This window comes from Homo sapiens, chromosome 1 (assembly GCF_000001405.40).
Source record: "Homo sapiens chromosome 1, GRCh38.p14 Primary Assembly".
NCBI classification, from domain to species: domain Eukaryota; kingdom Metazoa; phylum Chordata; class Mammalia; order Primates; family Hominidae; genus Homo; species Homo sapiens.
This window is the reverse complement of record NC_000001.11, coordinates 146,602,943-146,623,168: the sequence shown is the minus strand read 5'-3', so window position 1 is coordinate 146,623,168 and position 20,226 is coordinate 146,602,943. Positions and strand designations below refer to the sequence as shown.

Here is a 20,226-nt window from a genome sequence, read left to right as displayed (position 1 = left end):
TGCCATGGTAATTAACAACCTGCTGCTGTGGGAATCCAAACAGAGTCAGAGCAATGTGTTTACAATGCTTGGAGACATAATAGTGAGATCATGTAAGTAATTTCCTTAAAATAAGAACAAAAGACAAAAGTTTAGAGAAACTGTGATAATGGCCAAAGCTTAGCCCAGATGATTTTATTCAGGTGTTACTGTAATAACTTATTTTCTCTAAACATCCTAAGACATAGAGAGTAACTAGAAGCTAGTTTAATGTCTAAATCCTTATTTTATAAGACTATAACTTGTAGAAAAACTAGATCTCCAAACAGCATCTGTATCTATAATAACTTATACATGTTCACTAGGGAAACACTGATGGAAATTTAACACACTCTATTATGCTGATGTGTTCATATCAACAAAGATAGTCATCAGCATCCAAGACAGGATCTACTTAAAAAGCTAAAAAGGCAACAGGTTAAAACTTCTGTTAGTTTCTACATTCATTATAAATGTACCTTACCTAATGGTCAGTTTCACAGGCTCAGGTGACCCATTGACATTGACCAGGAACTCTTCTTCAAAGTTTCCCAGGATGGTAGAGCTGAAGGAGATCTGGATAGCTTGGACTCCACTTGGTTCAATGATGCCTTCCTTGGGACTGAAAACAAAGCAGGCCCCCAAAGCTGAAGTTGGAGGGGTCATGTTGAAGAGAGCATCGATGCTGTCTTTGTTGTACAGTATCGCCTATATCAATAAAAGGCAAGAATGTGAAGGTCAATGGGCCTCTGACCTATTTTCATATAAGCATGTGTCTGTACTGTTTAACAGCAACAAAGGGAAAGTTGCAGAATTAGAACCAAAGAAGAACACTCAGGGACAAATGAACAGTCTGATGCCTTGAGTGTTTGAAGATAGAACTCCCAAGCCAGAAAGTAATTTTATATTTTTAGTCTCCTCTTTAACATGAAATTAGTCATATATATTATGCTCGTGCTATAAAGACTGATCATAATCACATATACTGATGAAGAGCCTTAAAATACTCCCTTTTTTGCTACTCTCTATAAAGTAACCAAGGGAAAGTAAGTATTTCTCTTATACGCATGAGAAGGCTGAGGTTAAGCAGCATACTTAAAAATAAAAAGCAAGTTAGAATAGCAGAGTGAGAATTACCTAAACCTATGTTTATAATGTAGCTTGAAGAATGTAAATGAGACATCACTGTGGATCCCAGATGACAAGGGTTCTCTTTGTTGTGCTATCAGATTTCATCCTATTGAGATATTTTCATCTCAGATTCTACTGGATGGATGATTGTTTTGAGATTCTTATGCAAGCAACTGTTTTACTATAGAAAAGTTGTACTCCTATATTCTAGTGTTGTGGAAGCATGTTATTGCCCATATGTGGTTGCACACTGGGTTTAGTGTGTGCATGTAAAGAGCTCATGCCTGAGCTCCTTCATGCACACTCGTGACATTAGGCGTCCTATAAGGCAGGCCTCAGTCTACTGTCCCTACAATTCTTGTGCATGAACCTTCACTACAGCCATGTTGTTCTATCCTGGCTTCCAAAGACACCACCTCTGATCCTTGCCAATGCTGTCCTTACACCTAGAGGGTGAACAGCATGTTTTCCTGATTTATATAGGAACCACCCTCAACCTACACATAAGGCTTTGGAGGACAAAGAGCATGAGAGATCTCAAAGAAACTTTCAGAAGGTTAGCAGGCAAATGTGACGTGTGTCAGGAACGCGGAAGCTGAGGGAGGAGGATTCCCGGAAGAAGTCAGATGCAGACAGAGGTCAGGAGAGTAAGTTTGGAGCAAAGGTTACAGACATTATTTTTAGTTAGAGATTATTGTCATCCCTGACCTTGAGGAAGAGAGTAATTCTAGTGGGGCATGACTGCAGAATCCAGAGGACAAATATTTAGGGAATTGAGTGGGTGTACAGGAAATAGTGGCTATTTTAGATTCCTGTTTTGAGAAGATGAGTGGTGAAAGGTGAGAATGGGAGTGGCAAGACTGTGGGGAGGTACTGTGGAGGAGACAGCATATTTATAATAAATGAGATAATGCATATTCAGTGCTCAGCCTAGAGGAAACACTCACCCAAGTGCTGCCTGTTGTTGTTGTAAGAGAAGAGAGCTTGGTAACTAAGGGAATGGGGTCTGAGTGGAGGCAGAGGAGGATGAGTTCAGGGGCTCAGGTTGCAGGGAAGAGGGCATCCAGAATATATGATGGAGAGAAAGAGTCGGCAGCAGAGGCAGAGCAGAGGAAGACAGCCTCTTCTGCCAAGAGAAGACGGACAATGCACCAAAATAGAAGCATAAATAATTGCTGCTTGCTATTTTATTCATCTTTTTATGTTTCTTTCGCATCTCCCTCATTCTAAGGTCCCTGGTAGCAGGAACCAGGCTTCACCCTTCATTGCGTTTAAAGAGACCATGTAGAAAAGTGATTATGGCCAGCGACTCTGAAGCCAAACTGCCTGGGTTCAAATCTCAGCTTTGCCATTGACTTACTAGCTCTGTAACCTTGGACAATCTACTTAGTTTCTCTGTGCTCCAGTTTCCCCATGTGTAAAATGTAAGTACTACTAACTTCTCATATTGCTGTAAAATTAAATTTATTAATTTATGTAATTTTTAGAATAGTGCTTGGCAAATAGTGCTTAAAAATGACAGAGACTGTTGTTATGTTTTCGTTTGTTTGTTTGTTTTTTGTTTTTTAAGAGACAGGATCTGGCTCTGTTGTCCAGGCTGGAGTGCAGTGGCGCCATCATAGCTCACTGTACCCTTGAACTCCTAAGCTCAAGTGATCGTCCTGCCTCTGCCTTCTGAGTAGCTGGGGCTATAGGTATGTGCCACCACACCCAACTAATTTTTGTGGGTTTTTTTTTGTAGAGATGGGGTCTTTCTGTATTGCCCAGGCTGGTCTTGAACTCCTGGGCTCAAGTGATCCTTCCACCTCAGCCTCCCAAAGCACTGGAATTACAGACATGAGCCACCACACGTAGTCAGTGACTGCTATTTATATCCCCAGTGCCTAATAGAATGGGTTTAAATTTTACCTGTGCTTAAGAAGTGACTAGTACGTACTAGTGGTAACATGAAGGCAAATTGAAGGCATTAGTGGTAACTTGGAGGACCCTGTTCTTCTCTTTCAGAAGATGCATGGATTGCCTTTTAGTTTTTTTGGTTAGCAGAAATGTTTTGCCCATATTTTCTGTATGGTGAGAATTCCTCCATTTTTAAGAATATGACATCATTCTTCTCCTCCTGAGAAATAAGCACCTACTTACGAATACAGAAACCAGCAATAGTTTTGGGACACAATTCAGAGGCCTTTTGATTACCGATAATACTCTTTCCCTTGAGGTCTAGCTCCTTGGAGAGAAGAAAATTTATAATCAAACTTTGCCTCTCATTTGTTTTCCTTCTTAATTACACTGGGGAATAGGGTATACTCTTGGGGTTAATGGTTTATTCTTTATGTATCTGCTATGTTCAGCAATGACTAAGGGCAATAGCTAGTTATTCAAATTTGTCTCAAGTAGGTAATGCAATAAATTGAAAGAGAGATGCAATGAAGCATCAGCATTAAATACGCAGACAGTGCAAAATATTCCCATAAGAAGCACCTTACCGTGTCCTTCTCTGCCACTGCACAGCTCTCCAAACTGTCCAATCTGATGCATCACCTCATTGAACACTTATTTAACTGGCTGTGGTTTGCTTTACTATTAAAATTAGGGAGGGTGGGAAGTGGTGGCCTCAAGTACACTTCTGCTAAATTTACATTCAGGGAAACCCTATCCATTTTGCATCAGAACTAAAGCTTCTTTTCTGATGTGGCACTCATAAGTTCAGTCTGTAAGATACAGGAAATTCACACTGGATGAATTACAGACAGAATATCAGTTTAATGAGAACTACTGGACTTTTTTTCCTTCTCCCCAAGTGACCTCTCAAATGCAATCCAGGACAGTGTGGGATATAGCTGTGTCACTTGTCATTTCACGACAGCCATGCGACTGACTTCTTCATTTACACAGGGTTCCTATGCATAGTCCATCTCACTGTGACATTACCATCTCTGTTTACCTTCTGCATCATCCCATTTAGGCCACAGTTACTTTGTGAATGTGGGGGATGCAGGGTACTGTCCCCACACCAGGTTAGGCTGGGCTAAGAGCCAAGTGGTTTGGAGGCTGGGTTTACCCGAGGTGAGAGGTTGGGATGCTGAGAACCTGAAGGGTTGAGAGGCCAGCAAAGGCCTTCTTTTCCCAGAACAGGAGAGAGAGCCCTAGTCCCCCAGGACTCACTAACATTACATGCTGCAGGACCCTGCCAAGTTACTTAACTACCCTGGCATTCAGGTTTGCCGTTCCTTGAATGCACTTCCTCTTTTACTGTGCATACAGCTAATGGAATATGAATGTAAGTGAAATGTGCTACCATCTATAAAAATATCATATACGTTCCCCCATGCCCTTTCCCCTTCCACAATCTTGTAGACCACGTGGTAGGGGTGGCCAAGCATGAGACATTCCAGCTTCTCTGCTGGAAGAGAGCACCTGCTCACTAGAAACCTTTGTTTTGGACTTTATGTAAGGTGTAAAAGAAACTTCTAGCATATTTGAGACATTATGTATTTTTGTGTTTGTTTGTTACAATATCTAGCACTACCTTAACTTCTCTAAGACTCAGTTTACCCAGCTATGAAATGGAAATAGTTAATCGTACCTCACAAATAGTTCTCACAAATAGGTTTTTATTGTTTTGGGGTGGTTTTTGTTTTTTGTTTTTTGTTTTTTTTGAGACAGAGTCTCACTCTGTTGCCCAGGCTGGAGTGCAGTGGCGCGATCTTGGCTCACTGTAACCTCCACCTCCTGAGTTCAAGTGATTCTCCTGCTTCAGTCTTCCAAGTAGTTGGGATTACAGGTGCCTGCCAACATGCCCTGGTAATTTTTGTATTTTTAGTAGTGATTGAATTTCACCATATTGGCCAGGCTGGTCTTGAACTCCTGACCTCAAGTGATCCACTGCCTTGGCCTCCCAAAGTGCTAGGATACAAATTGGGTTTTTGTGAGGACTAAATGAACGAGTGAAGGTCAAAGCACTAGCACTGTGCTCAACACACATTAAGGGAGATGTGTATGATATTAACTACTACACGATCCACATTTCTCATATGCAAAATAGATGTAATAAAGCCTAACTTTCACAATTTGGTAAGGATTAGAAATCACACACACACACACACACACATAGACATGCACACACAATAAAGTATGAATCTGAATCTGGCACCTATTTGTCACTCATTAAATAATTGTTTAAAATACCTCTATAAAAATACAAACATATACAATGAAGGAACTTTCCCAAAATGAAGTTTCAAGGGTTATAGTCTGACGTAATGTAAAAAATGTGCCCTAGATACAAATTTAGTGATGGGGAGACACTGAAGTAACACTGATCCTGAATAACTCATGCATACATCCTGTAAAATTTCATTTTCTAATTAATTGGAAAGATGAAGCAGGAAAGTCTCTTCCAGAAACTGATTGGTTTTTAAAACATGGATTGGAGACTAGTGCATTAAGAGAAAATTCTGAAATGTGAAAACAGCTATGCTCATTAGGACGTTCTAGAAAATGTAAAAGGTTATCTATCCTCTGATCTGTGGAATTTATGTTGTCAGAGAACAAGCACTAAACAGATGGGGAGATGTATTTATGAGTTTTCCCTTTGCAATCTACAAAACAATGAGGATAAAACCAGTGAAACTATGGCTTTGATGCTTTTTAGCTTTCACTAAAGTGAAGGAGGGCTAATGAAGATAAAAAAGTTGTTCCCCTCATGATGGCCAGGCAGGAGGAGGAAGAATCTGAGCACTCCAGGGTCTCAACAAGGATGAGTAACGGCGAATAAATGTGATTGCATACTCTTTCCATCAAATAAAAACATATAAAACAAACCCCAAAAGCCAAGTACTGTTTGAAGTATCAATGAACAACTCTAGTGCTTACCTCATAACAATGTGCAGATCCAGTGAAAACTTTCCCAATATCCAGCAATTCAAAGTTGAAGTGAATCTTAGGTCCCATGCCTTCCCCTTTGATTCGGAGGGGCAGACGGATTTCTCGGCCTAGAAAAACAGTTCAGACTTTATCATCCAAATGGTGCTTCATTTACCCCAAATCATGTTCCCTCATGTACGTTACCAATATAAATAATCAAAATTATTAAATAGCTCCCTGCATTGCACCGAGGGAACTGCAATTTAACTAACGCTGAAGATTCATCCTATATGGGAGCCAATCATAATCCTGAATGCCAAAATCCTGACTGCCGAAATTGTGAAAGACCAAAATCCCAAAGATATAATTCTGGAAAAACAAAAGACATTCTTTACAATATATTTATTTACATTTTAAAGAGGGATTTACTTGAGAAACATATAAAAACACAACAGAACACTTCAAAGGCCACTTTATGCAATAAAATAGGCAATAATAGAATGCATATTTTTGCAAGCATAAACACAGGTAGACTAACAACAGTCACATGGGTATAATAGTTATGAGCATACAAGCTGTATTTATAAAGGAATAGGTGAAAAAGGGCAAAGTACAAATGCATGTCATTATGGTTGGTAACTGCAGACACCCAGCTTTATAACTGTGATCACCTGAAATACCATATGAACAACTTAAGTCTTTTGAGAAGATAGATCAAAAACCATGATGGGTCACCCCCACTTAGGCAGTTTCCCAAAGAGCTGAGATCTCCAGAAATTTTATCTCTCACAAATTCAGATCTACAAAAAGACTATCTCTTCATGTATTGAGGAAGTGTCGGCATTTTTACGTACACACACAATGCTTACACACGAAGGCAACGTCGTGATAATGCACTTGCATGGAGTCAAATTTCTATGTCCAAGGCAGCAGAGGAAAAGTCTGTCCCAGCTCTCAGAGACAAACCAATGTGCCTTCTGTATTTGTTCTCTCCCAAGTCCCTGGCTGGTTGGATGGGGCCTGTCAGCATTGAGGGCAGATTTTCCCCATCAAGTCCACTCAGACTTACACACAAATCTCCTCTGGAAACACTCACAGATATACCCAAAATTATGCTTTACCAGGTTTCCACCAGTTTTTACTGGTCAAGTTGACATCTAAAATGAAGTCCACAAGCCCATCCCTTGTCAACCTGGCACCCATGTGTTAAACCATACTAAATTTCCCAGTAAAGACAAGGTAATAGTTCCACCTAACATGGTACAATCAGCATAATGCAACTATCCTGTGTGCAGCTGAAAACACACTAATCGCTTCCCTAGACTTTGGTTTTCAGGATTTCAACATTTGGGATTTTAATCTTTCAGGACTGTGATTTTTGGGATTTTAGACACCAGGGATGTTAGACTTTAGGGATTTTGATCCTTAGGGGTTTTGATCTTTCAGGAACTCAAGATTCGGGATTATGGCATTTTAAATTGTGTCTTTTGGTATTGTGATCCAAATGTTTTAAGAAAATAAGAATATTGCTAGTTTCTTATCTTTAGGGAGCAGACTGTATTGCAATTTACATTTTAGCAGGAAAAAAATTAAAAATTTTAACCCAATTCTTAACATTATTCCAAAGTTTCTTACAAAGAAAAGTAATTCTAAATCAGAGAAGGGTGACCATTGATTGATGCTTCTCATAAAATGAGAGCCAACCTGGGGCTCCAAGGGACATTATTCACATTGATCTTCCTTAGATTTAGGAAGATCCAGAATATTAGGGATCTGAGTCTAGGGATCTTACCCGATGCTTACTTTTGCTGAATTTCTTCCATGTAGAGATAATGAAATGCACTTAACAATATCCGTTATAACAATTCTACAATGAACTCACGGTCAATACAGAGCACACAACCTTTGAAGTACTGACTGGTTTTGTTCCCCCTTTTTAAAATGAAACTATCTTTGTTCGATAATACGTGATCATTACAAAATTTAAAGAGAATATGAATAAAATTATCTTATAATTGCATCATCCAAAGATAACTACTGTTAACATTTTGGTGCCTATCCTTTTATATTTAATTGTATCACAATACTGCTAATGCAAATGGGAATGTATACTATGTTATTTTGCAACCTGCTTTTTTTCATTTAATAATACCTTTGGAACATTTTAACATATCATTAACATATCATACCTAAAGATCTCCCTTATTCTTCTTAATGGTTATATGGTCCACTGTTGGGAGGCAAATATGTTTAAAACTCTTATTGGACATTTAAGTGGCTTCCAACCTTTCATTACAATTTGTAGTGTAATTACTATCATCGAACATGTATCCGTGAACAATTTTTCCATATTTTCTTCCAGCACTTTGAAGATATTATAGCTTTCCACTGTTTCTGTTGAGAAGTCAGCTCATACTCTTATTGCTCAATTGAAACAATCTATCTTGTCTTCTGATAGATTTAATTTTTATGCACACATATTTATTTATTTTTGTCTTTAGCTTTCAGTGATTTTACTATAATGTTCCTAGGCATGGTTGCATTTATCCTTTAAGGGGCTTGTAGCACTTATTGAATATGTGAATAATTGTCTTTCATCAATTCTGAAAAATTTTGAGTCATTATCTTTTCAAATATTGTTTCTTCTCCACTTTTCACCTCTCTGTCTTTTGTGTGTGTGTGTGTGTGTTCTTTTTCTATATTTTGTCTCTGCATGCTTCAGTATTTTCAGATATTTTATTTGATTTATCTAATTTCCACTTTACAAAATCTCTCTGGCTATACCTAACAAGCGGTTAAATTCATCCACTGAGTTTTTAATTTGTTATTATAACTTCTTAGTTCTAGACTTTTCATTAGAATGTTTCTAGTTTTCAGATCTCTGCTTAATTTTGATAAAAACATTTTTAAAATCTGTGTCTGATAATTCTATGATCTGGTTCTCCTGGGTTTGTTTCTATTGTTTACTCTGGTTTTCTATCAGATTGTCTTACCTCCTCATGTGCTTGGTCATTTTTTGATTGAGTGCTGATCAGTATATATAAAAGTTATAGACATAATTTAAAGCCACAAGAAGATAACTCCCTCCGGCTTCTAGCTGGCGACTGGGGGGCATTAGTAATCCCAGACAACCTAATTTAGCTGTTCTCAGCTAAGGTTTTGTGAGAGAATTAAGCCCTGCAGCAAATCATTTGAGTGATTATTTTCTCAACTCTCCCAAGAAGGGTAGGTAGCTAGCATCATCCTAGGTACAACAGAGATAAATTAATTCCTCATAAACAATAGACACCTTAGAACGCTAGGGATTAATTATCTTCTGGATCTCCAGTGGAAAACTGTTTGAAATTAAACCAATAACAACAATGATTCAAAGCTGAACTTCAGTCTCTTTGAGGACTGGCCCATTTCTAATTCACTGGGTCCTACTCTAAAGTCTGGGGGATTAGATTACTAGGGCCTTTCCTCCTGGGACATACCATGGACTTTTGTTTTCTTCTTTAACCTTACTTATCTTTTTGGCCTCTCTGCAGTTTTTACCAAAAAGGCAGTGTCTTTAAGGATAAAGTGGCCCCCAAAGTCTGACGGTCTTGATTTCCTTCTCTTGGATCTTGGCCCCATGTTCCAGTAGTTCTCTCTTGCCTTAAAAAACAGACTCTAAAAAATATTTTGCCTTGCTTTCCTAGGTGTTCTTAGAGAGAAAGAGTTAATTCAAATTACCCAGCTTATCATTTATGAAACATTTCCAGAACAAAGGGATGCACATTTGACATTGTGACAGCTATAGCCATACTGCTCTCAAGAATGGTTGTGCTAATTCCACACAAACATCTGTAGTATTTACGGGTTCTTTCTCTCCACATTCTCCCCAGCAGTGGGGATATCACCACTTTGAAAATCTTTGATAGTTCAATGGTTTTCCTTAAATGTATACCATATAATTTCAAGTTCTCTAAGGAAAGAGGATATATTTGCTCTGTATGGACATTTTGAATGTTCAAAATACTTTTGATGCTTCGTTGATGTAGTTTTCAGTATTACAGAAAATATGCTTAGAACAGCCAAGTGATATTTCTAATTCATTATCATCATTTTAACACCTTGTGACATTTTATGTTCCACTGTCTTCTGTTGCTGTTTAGCTTTTGTATCTTTAATGCTTTTTTCCCCATGAATGTCCGTTAAAGACAGAATACTTGTCCTTTTGTTCCTTCTAGTGCTTGGCAACACAGTGGTCATTAGACAAGCATTACTTTGATTATAAGAAGCAAAAGCCATACTTAGGATGACTGATTTATTCAAAGGGTTCCCCTGCTCCATCCGATCCCTGGAAAAGAGGTTCCTCTAAAGATCAGGTGTTAGTTGTGGCAATACTCTAAACTATAGATAAAACTTTCTTTCTTTTTTTTTTTTTTTGAGATGGAGTCTCGCTCTGTCACCCAGGCTGGAGTGCAGTGGCACGATCTCGGCTCATTGCAAGCTCCGCCTCCCGGGTTCACGCCATTCTCCCGCCTCAGCCTCCCGAGTAGCTGGGACTACAGACGCCCGCCACCACGCCCGGCTAATATTTTTGTATTTTTAGTAGAAACGGGGCTTCACCGTGTTAGCCAGGATGGTCTCGATCTCCCGACCTCAAGATCCGCCCGCCTCAGCCTCCCAAAGTGCTGGGATTACAGGCGTGAGCCACCGCGCCCGGCCAATAAAACTTTCAAAGGGCCCAAACTGCATTACCCTACTCTATTATTTTTGAGGTCTAGACTATTGGGAATAATTTACACTCTTTGGTCAAGAGAAAAGTATTTTGATTGAGATCCAACTTTCAGAATGGCAAAGAAAGAGAATTGCAAATATATCATGGAATAAACTGCAGGACTATTTATAACTGTCAGGCCTAAAACTTTCTCCATCTCTTACCTTGACTGCCTTTCTTAAAAAAAAAAAAAAAAAGGAGATGTGTTGTAATAAAGCAGTGAGCCAATGTTTCTTTGGTAGTTATTAATTACTTCAAAGGAGTTTGTCTTATTTGTTGCTAGCCACTCCCCTCACCCAGAACAGGAGTACAAGTAATGCCCAGCCTTGAGTTTCTAAGTGTTAGTATAAATTTTAGGGTCACATTACAAATGCTACTTTTCCACAAGATTTTCTAAGCAGATATTTTTCTTGTCTTGGCAAAAGGCAGCAAGAGATACAAGCATGGAGGAACTAGTAAACTTTAAGGGCAGACTCCTTATTAAAAGACCAAAATATTTTAAAACATAGAGCAGTCCTCATCTATGACTGCAGTGTTCTTATTTCACACATGAGAAGTAGGGAGATGCACTACAGAACCCCTTTAATGACCCTGAAGTCCCCAGATGCAACAGATCCCATTGCATTATGTACCAGGAAATGCAAACCATGGGCTTTCAAAAACTTTCCATCTGCTATGGTCTGAATGTTAGCGTCCCCTGAACCCCAAATTCATATGTTGAAATCTTAACTCCCAAGATGATGGCATTAAGACGTGAGGCCTTTAGGAGGTGTTATGATCATGAGGGTGTAGCCCTTAAGAATGGGATTAGTGCCTTATAAAAGCTGCCTCAGCAAGCTCGTCTGCACCTTCCACCATCTGCTGGTGCCTTGATCTTGGATTCTCCAGCCTCCAGAATTGTGTTGGATAAATTTCTGTTTTTCATAAACCACCAAGTTTATGGCATTTTATTATAGCAGCCTGAACAGACTAAAATACCATCTAAGATATCCTAGATGTTCCATATTATACTTGAGTTCCATTCCTGTGCAGTAAGAAAAAATTCAGAGGAAAAAAGTATAAATAGAAGAATAAACAGACATTATTCACTCATATTAAGACTGTCAACCTGGAAAATAAAAAAGAATTTATAAATAAATTTTTAAAATTAATAAGAGAGGGACTGTGTATGATGGCTCATGCCTGTAATCCTAGTGCTTTGAGAGGACAAGGTAGGAGGAACAATTGAGGCCAGGAGTTCAAGATCAGCCTGGGCAACATAGCAAGACCTCGTCTCTACAACTTTTTAAAAAAGTTAGCCAGGGATCATGGAGTGAGCCTGTAGTCCCAGCTATTTGGGAGGCTGAGGCAAGAGGATCACTTGAGCCCAGGAGTTCAAGGCTGCAGTGAGCTACGATCACATCACTTGCACTCCAGCCTGGGCAACAGAGCAAGAAGTGGTCTCAAAAAATAAATAAAATAAAATAAACAAGAGAGTAAGATTCAGGATTAGCAAACATTTACGAAGGTCAACTGTATTTCTATATCCAGCAACAGTCAGAAAAATTTAGTTTTCAAGGTTCTATTTATAATAGCAACAAAAATATAAAGTACGTAAAAATAAATCAACAAAACATACTTGAAAACTTCAAAGCAAAAGTTGTAAAACTTTATGGGAAGACATTAACAAGGATTTAAATAAATAAATGAATAAATAGAGAACTAGACTATATTCTTGAAAAGGAAGATTCAATGTCATCGAGAGTGTCCATTTTCTCCCAACAGGTTTATATCTATAAATTCAATGTACTGCTAAACAAAACGCCAGCAGGTAGAATTTGGTGGAGTGTGGTGGGTTGATTTTAAAATTTAAATGGAAAATCAAAGGGCCAATAAAAAGAAGACATGCCGAAGGAAAAACAAATTGGGAGAACTTGCCCTTTCATAAACTCAAATCTAGTGGAAAGCTACTGTAATTAACATAGTGTGGTACTGGGGCAGAAAGTGCAAAATGACAAAGGAAACAGAAGAGAAATTCAGAATAGATGCACAAATACATGTGAATTTGATTTATATCAGAGTAGGTGTTGAATATCAGTGAGGAAAGATGGCTACATAGTGTAGGGAGCTAAATCAGCTGATATCCACATGGGATCTGCGGTAGGCTGAATAATGGCCTCCAAAGATATTTACATTCTCACTCCTGAATCTAAATATTGCCTTATATGGCAAAAGGGTGAATGTTGCCTTATATGTCAAAAGAGGTAATTAAATTAATAATTTAGACATGGGGAGATTATCCTAGACTATCTTGGTGGGCCCTAATATAATCACAAATGTCCTTAAGAGGAAAGCAGAGGGAAGCTTGACACAGAAGATGAAAAGACAATGCAATGATGCAACCAGATTAGAGTGATGCAACCACAAGCCATGGAATGCTGGCAACTTTAAAAGCTGGAAAAAGTAAGGAACAAATTTTTCCCAGGAATCTCCAAAAGGAACCAGCCCTGTTGACACCTGATTTTAGCTCAGTGAAACTGATTTCAGACTTCTGAATTCCAGAACTGTAAGAGAATAAATGTGTGTTGTTTTAAGTCACTAAGTAACTCGTAACTTGTTTCAGCAGCAATAACAAACTGACACAGAGTCCCTCCCATCTACTCTACACAAAAGTCAACTCAAGTTGGATCAATGTGATGGTAAACTATGAAACTTTTTAGAAAGAAATATAGAATGATCTCTTTACCAACTTGGTGTAGAGAAAGGGATTTTAACAATAAAAGTGAGCAAATTATAAAATAAAAGATTATCAAATGCAATTACATTAAAACTCTTGTTCACTAAAATCACCTTAATGAGAGTGAACGGACAAGACACAAACTAGGAGAAGATATTTGCAGGACATATCAAGCCAGTTACATCCCAAATACATCAAAAGCCCCTATGAATCAACAATACAAAGACAACACAATAGAAAAATGGGCAAAGGCCAAATACGAATTTCACAGGAGATGAAACAGAAATGGCCAGTCAATATAACATGCTATTTTCATTAACATAATGAAATTCATAATTGCAGAAATATTAATCAAAGCCACAGTGAGATTCCATTTCACAACTAGCGGAGGAGCAAAATTTTAAAAGTTGATCAATACTAAGAGAAGTCAAGGTTATGGAGTAAGGTTATAGGCACATCTCCTGCAGGTAGGAAAGTAGACGGGCACAACCCCTTTGGAGAAGTCTGATTACCTAGTAAACCTGAGTGTATACATCCTGTATGTCCTGGAGTTGCCACTCCTGGGGATATATCCTAGAAAAATTTGGCACCATGTACCTGAAAACATGTTCAAGAGTGTTCATAAGAGCATTATTCTCAATAGCATAACAGCATTAAGTTAGAAACAACACAAATGTCCAACTGGATAGGAATTTTTATATATTCAAATAATAGAATATTAACTGTTAAACTAGAGTCTCATGCATGACATGAGTGAATCTCAGCAAAACAAATATAGTATCATAATATTTACGTAAAGTTTAAAACATGCAAAAATAAGTTATATATTGTTATGGGTTATACCCACATATGGCTAAAAAGCAGTATGAAGAAAACCAAGGAAATGATTAACTGACTACACAAAATTTTAAATGGATAGTTACCTCTCTGCAGGAAACAGAAGGACACAGATATTCTAAAATATGGTAGAGTCCCATTTCTTAACGTGGGTGACAGGTTCACAGTTGTTTATCTTACTATTATTTCTTATATCTTAACTATATAATACAAATATTATTTTGTGTAATTTCAATATAAATTTTAAAAACACAAAACTTGCTGAAATGTTAACTAATACATTTTGTTGTGTGTTTGTGTGCACAAAATTGTTTATTATATGGTTATTTCTTGGAACCCCAAAGCTCATTATCAGAATTTTCACATTTAATAATAATATGATGTAAGTTGTTTTACCTAAATTCATTATCTAAATGAAAACAATATTATAAGTATGATATGAATGTATGCATGTGCCAGCAAAAACATTTATGTTTGCTTGAGTTTCAGCAGTAAAATGTATTGTGTGTTACAGCCCGACCTTCAGCTGTTCTGACAAGACAGATTTGTTTCGTGCTTTCCTCGTTTAAAATGTGTTATGCATTATCAGCTCATCTTCCCACAATTTCCCTGATGGTTTAGTCTTTCATGGGTCCTAGAATTTGTTTCTGCCAGGTACTGAGGGCAACTACCAACCAGGGAATAATTTAGACAAAATCTTTAGATCCTAGACTTTTAGAATCTTTAATACTTATTTTATTGTTTGTATTACAGTTCATGTTTACAGCAGTGCAGAAAGAAAATGTAATTCATGTCTAAAATTGTACAGTATCTTTACGTGCTACAAACCAATACACCCATTTATATACTTACTTATTTAAGCATTATAGAGGTAATTTGAATATTTTAAATGCCTTGTGTTATACAGGAATCTTTGATGAGTTGTTATATAGGTGTTTTAAAATGTTTTAGAAAAACTGGATAGAGTTTCTGGATGGGCTGGGAACCTGACTGTTTCTGAGAGTTACAAGAATGGAATATGGGTTGCACTATTTCAGCGGAACCATGTCTTTATGGGGTAGTGTGGTACAGGACAGGGACCAGGACTGTCACAACCTAGAATTCAAATCTTGGATTAAGAAGCCCCACAGACAACTCACCTAAATTCTCTAAGCTTTAGCCTTCTCATCTGTAAAATAAAGATAATAATTCCAGCCTACCTTACTGAATTATTGAGACACAAATAAGATTAATCTGCAAGTGTCTTTGTGTTTATATACAAATGCGTTCATATACTATAATGTGAACATAAAATTATTATGTAAATTTGATTTATGAGAGAGCTGATGTTGAATATCAGTGAGAAAAGATGGATCATTTAGTGTAAAGAGCTAAAACAGCTGGAAATCCACATGAGATCTATGGCAGGCTGAATAATGGCCCCCAAAGATATTCACATCCTCATTCCTGAATCTGTAAATATTACCTTATAAGTCAAAAGATGTGATTAAGAGTTTTGAAATGGGGAGATTATCCTGGATTATCTTGATTATGGTAGCTTAAAAATCATCTTGAACTCTGGTAGTAGGAGTCCTTTCATTTTATTCTTCTTTTCCAAAGTTGTTTCAGCTATTCTAGGTTGTTTGCATTTCCATGTGAATTTTAGAATCAGCTTGTCAATTTCTACAAAAAAACCATCTTGTATTTTAATTTTGATTTCAATTAAATCTATAGATGAATTTGGGGGAGAAATGGCATTAAGATGTCATTAAGATATTATTGAATAGCCATATTGAATTTACCAATCTATGAACAAGCTGTATTTTTCTATTTGTTTAGGTCTTTAATTTCTCTCATTAATCTTTCATAGTTTTCAGTATATGGGTCTTGTATACATTTTGTCAAATTTATCTCTAATTATTTTATATTTCTCAATGTTATTGTAAGTGATACTGCCTTTTAAAATTTCAGTCCTCTGTATAGATCTCATATCCTGCAACCTTGTACTAGTTAACTACACTTACTTTGTAGGCTTTGTTTAAAATGAATATTCTCCAGCATCGTCTCCACAGATTTTGATTCAATAAAACATATATAAAACCCAAGAATCTACATTCTTAATGAGTAGCCAGGGGGATTCTGATACAGATTCTCTAAGTACATTACTTTGAGAAAGATATGAAAATTAATAACATTAACTTCTGATGGTATGTCCAAGTTAACTGATGCAGTCCATTCTTCCACCCAAAATACAAAAAAAAATAGAATTGATTAAAAACATGGCAAATAAATATTTTTAATGCTTTTCCAGGTTCAAAATAAAGGAAAGAAAATAACAGGTTCTAGAAATAAAAAGGGAACTCAGCTAGCATAGTAAACTAGTGAGATGACCCAAAGAAGGCCCAGAGATGTGTAGAGTAGATACAGAACTTATGGTTTAGTGGGTCCAGTTATACCCTCACAGAGAGAGGACACAGCCTTGTTCCCATCTGGGAATGGAGAATTAAACTAAGATTCTAGCATAAATCCAGGACCGTAGAAAGACTACCTCTTTTCACAAAGGCAACTAGAATAATTCTACTCATTGGTCTAGGGAAGCAGTGATGAAGCCTGTCTTCTACTTAGAATTCTGAATAGGAGGGAGAGCCTCCTATGATAAATCAAAATCCCATGTACACATATGAGATCGAAATTTAGACTATCTGATAGGTGCGAGAATCAGAAGCTGAGAAAATAAAAAATCACAGGACCCTTGGCAGAAGAAATAAAAATCTGCTCTGAGGGAATAGTTTCATAACTCGGTACCCAAGCTAAAATTGAGTTCATAATACAAACATTTCAAGCCATCTGAAGAAACAATCTAGTAGGAGGAAAATCAGTGATTACTACAAACATGTGAGCTGGTATCCTAAGAGTTTGAGGTAATAAAAAAAAGTCTCATATAGCATTCTTAAAATCTTTGAAGAGATAAATGAAGAAATAGAAAGCATAATGAAGGAATAAAATATGAAAATATTCAAACTATATATAACTCCTAAAAATAAAAAGCCAAGTCAATGAATTAAAAACTGAACAGATGAATACACTGAAGAGTAGATATAGCTGAAGAAAGAATTAGTCAACTAGAAAAAAGATCTTAGAAAAATACCCAGAATACATCATAGTGAGACCAGAAATGTGCAGAGACGTTTAAGAGACATGGTAATTCCACAGGAAACACATATATCTAAAAAAAAAAAATTCCAAAAGGAGAAATTTGAGATAAGAGGAAAACAACATTGGAGAGATGCTGAGTAACCAATATGTAGCATATTACTTACTTATTACTCTGAAAACTCAAAAGTGTTTTCAATGATTGGGGTGATTTTCTTTTTAATAAATCTAATTCAATCTCCATTCTTTAATTCAATTAAGATAAAAATCAGAAGCCCTGAATTGTCTTTAAAATTCAAAATTTTCCCTTTTATGACTCACAGAAAGCAAATGGACAATGAGGTTTCATCTTAATTGGGTCTCTGAAGGAAGTGGGAGCATCTGGAATCATTTCCACCATGCTGCTTTTCTGCATTTGACTCCGTTACCTAGCAATGCATTTCACAATGTTACCTAGCAATGCATTTCACAGTTTAAATTAGAGAGTATTACTTCTTTTTGAAGTTCCCATATGCTGATCCAAACCAAATATATGTAGCTTCCCTTTGCATTTTTTTAAAAAGGTAATCTTCCTGATAAAGTTAGGTATTTCCACATTCCATTAGAAAGTCAAAATAGATGAAAGATCAGTTTCAAGAGCCAGATCAAACCATCAGCAAGTCTTTATAAATATCTAGCATACAGATTTAACTATTTCTAAGAAAACAGAATGACTTAAAATGCAGAAAAATTATTCAGTTTCAGATTAATGGAAAGGCTTTTCATGATGTTATATTTGCCATAACATGCTTAGGGTGCTTCAGTGACTGCCAACTGTACTCAGCAGAAAGTCCAATGTCCTTAGGCTGGCATCCAAGGGCAGCCCTTTATGAATGGATCCTACCTACTACTCTAGCTTTCAGCTTCATTTTCCTTCCCTCCCTCCCTCTCTCTCTCTCTCTCTCTCAATCTCCATAGCAGTCACACACTAAGAACTTGCAATTCTTTGCCACTTCATGTTCTTGCTATGTATTTTCACATAATGCTTCTTTATGTATTTTCACAAAGTATTTCCCTGACTTACATGCCCAGCCTTTGTTTATGTTTTTACGTGCTTAACAAATACTTCAAGGGTCACTTTCTCTGGAAAGCTTTCCTTGACATCCCAAGCCTGAGCTGTGTACCCTGTATCCGCTTCTATAATAATAATCAACTTCTACAGTAGCAGTGCACTATAACTGTTGGCTATGTGTCAGTTTCCTCCACTGAATTCTATGCTTTCTCAGGGCAGGAACTATGCTTTTGTACCTCTTTCTACTCATGGTGCCTAGATATCAAAAGCTTTCAAAAGAAAAGAGGGTTGCAGTTGGAGACGTGGGTTAAATCTCATGCATCCTCAGAGGCCTCCCTTATGACCAGTAGCCTTCCCTGTTATTTCCTGTCTCTGAACATATATTTACATAATGGAACACTGTACAACAATGAAAATGAAATACAACTAGAGCAAAAGTAGCAACATAGATGAGACATGTAGGCTCATTTCAGATATGTACATTTCAAAACAGGCATTACTAAATTGTATTGTTTAGAGATACATACATTGGGTAAAAACTATACATGAAAGCAATTGCAACAAAAGCAAAAATTGACAAATGATATCTAATTAAGACTTGGAACCAACCCAAATGTCCAACAATGATAGACTGGATTAAGAAAATGTGGCACATATACACTACGGAATACTATGCAGCCATAAAAAATGATGAGTTCATGTCCTTTGTAGGGACATGGATGAAGCTGGAAACCATCATTCTCAGCAAACTATCACAAGGACAAAAAACCAAACACCGCATGTTCTCACTCATAGGTGGGAATTAAACAATGAGAACACATGGACACAGGAAGGAGAACATCACACACTGGGGCCTGTTGTGGGGTGGGGGGAGGGAAAGCATTAGGAGATATGCCTAATGTTAAATGACGAGTTAATGGGTGCAGCCCACCAACATGGCACATGTATACATATGTAACAAACCTGCACGTTGTGCACATGTACCCTAGCACTTAAAGCATAATAAAAAACAAGTAAAATTAAATTAAAAAAAAAAAAGCTTAAGAGCTTCTGCACAGCAAAAGAAACTATGGGCAGACTAAAGAGGGAAAACCCACAGAATGGGAAAAAATATTTGCAAACTATGCATCTGACAAAGATTTAAAATCCAGCATCTATAAGGAACTTAAACCAATTTATAAGAAAAAAACAAACAATCCTATTAAAAAGTGGGCAAAAAAATGAACAAATACTTTTCAAAAGAAGACATATATGTGGCCAACGAGCATATGAAAAAAAGCTCAATATCACTGATCATTAGAGAAATGGAAGTCAAAACCACAATGAGATATCATCTCATATAGTCAGAAAGGCTATTACTAAAAAGTCAAAAAATAACAGATGCTGGTGAGGTTGTAAAGAAAAGGGAACACTTATACACTGTTGGTGGGAGTGTAAATTAGTTCAACCATTATGGAAAGCAGTGTGGTGATTCTTCAAAAAACAAAAAATAGAACTACCATTCGACCCAGCAATACCATTACTGGGTATAAACCCAAAAGGATATAAATTGTTCTACCACGAAAACATGCATGTATATGTTCATTGCAGCACTAGTCACAATAGCAAAGACGGAATCAACTTAAAAGCCCATCAATGGTAGACTGGATAAAGAAAATGTGATACATACACACTACAAAATACTACGCAGCCATAAAAAAGAATGAGATCATGTCCTCTGCAGGAATGTGG

General features: G+C 37.1%; 1 pseudogene across 1 annotated transcript in view; it reads right to left on the bottom strand.

Moving 5' to 3' along the window:
• HYDIN2 (HYDIN axonemal central pair apparatus protein 2 (pseudogene)) overlaps positions 1 to 20,226 on the bottom strand; it is a 335,703-nt pseudogene that overhangs the window by 198,866 nt on the left and 116,611 nt on the right. Inside the window, exons 16-17 of the transcript NR_103556.2 lie at positions 6,022 to 6,140; positions 503 to 726 (exon numbers count right to left, since the gene is read on the bottom strand). The product of NR_103556.2 is annotated as an HYDIN axonemal central pair apparatus protein 2 (pseudogene) (transcript). The remainder of the gene's footprint in view (positions 1 to 502; positions 727 to 6,021; positions 6,141 to 20,226) is intronic.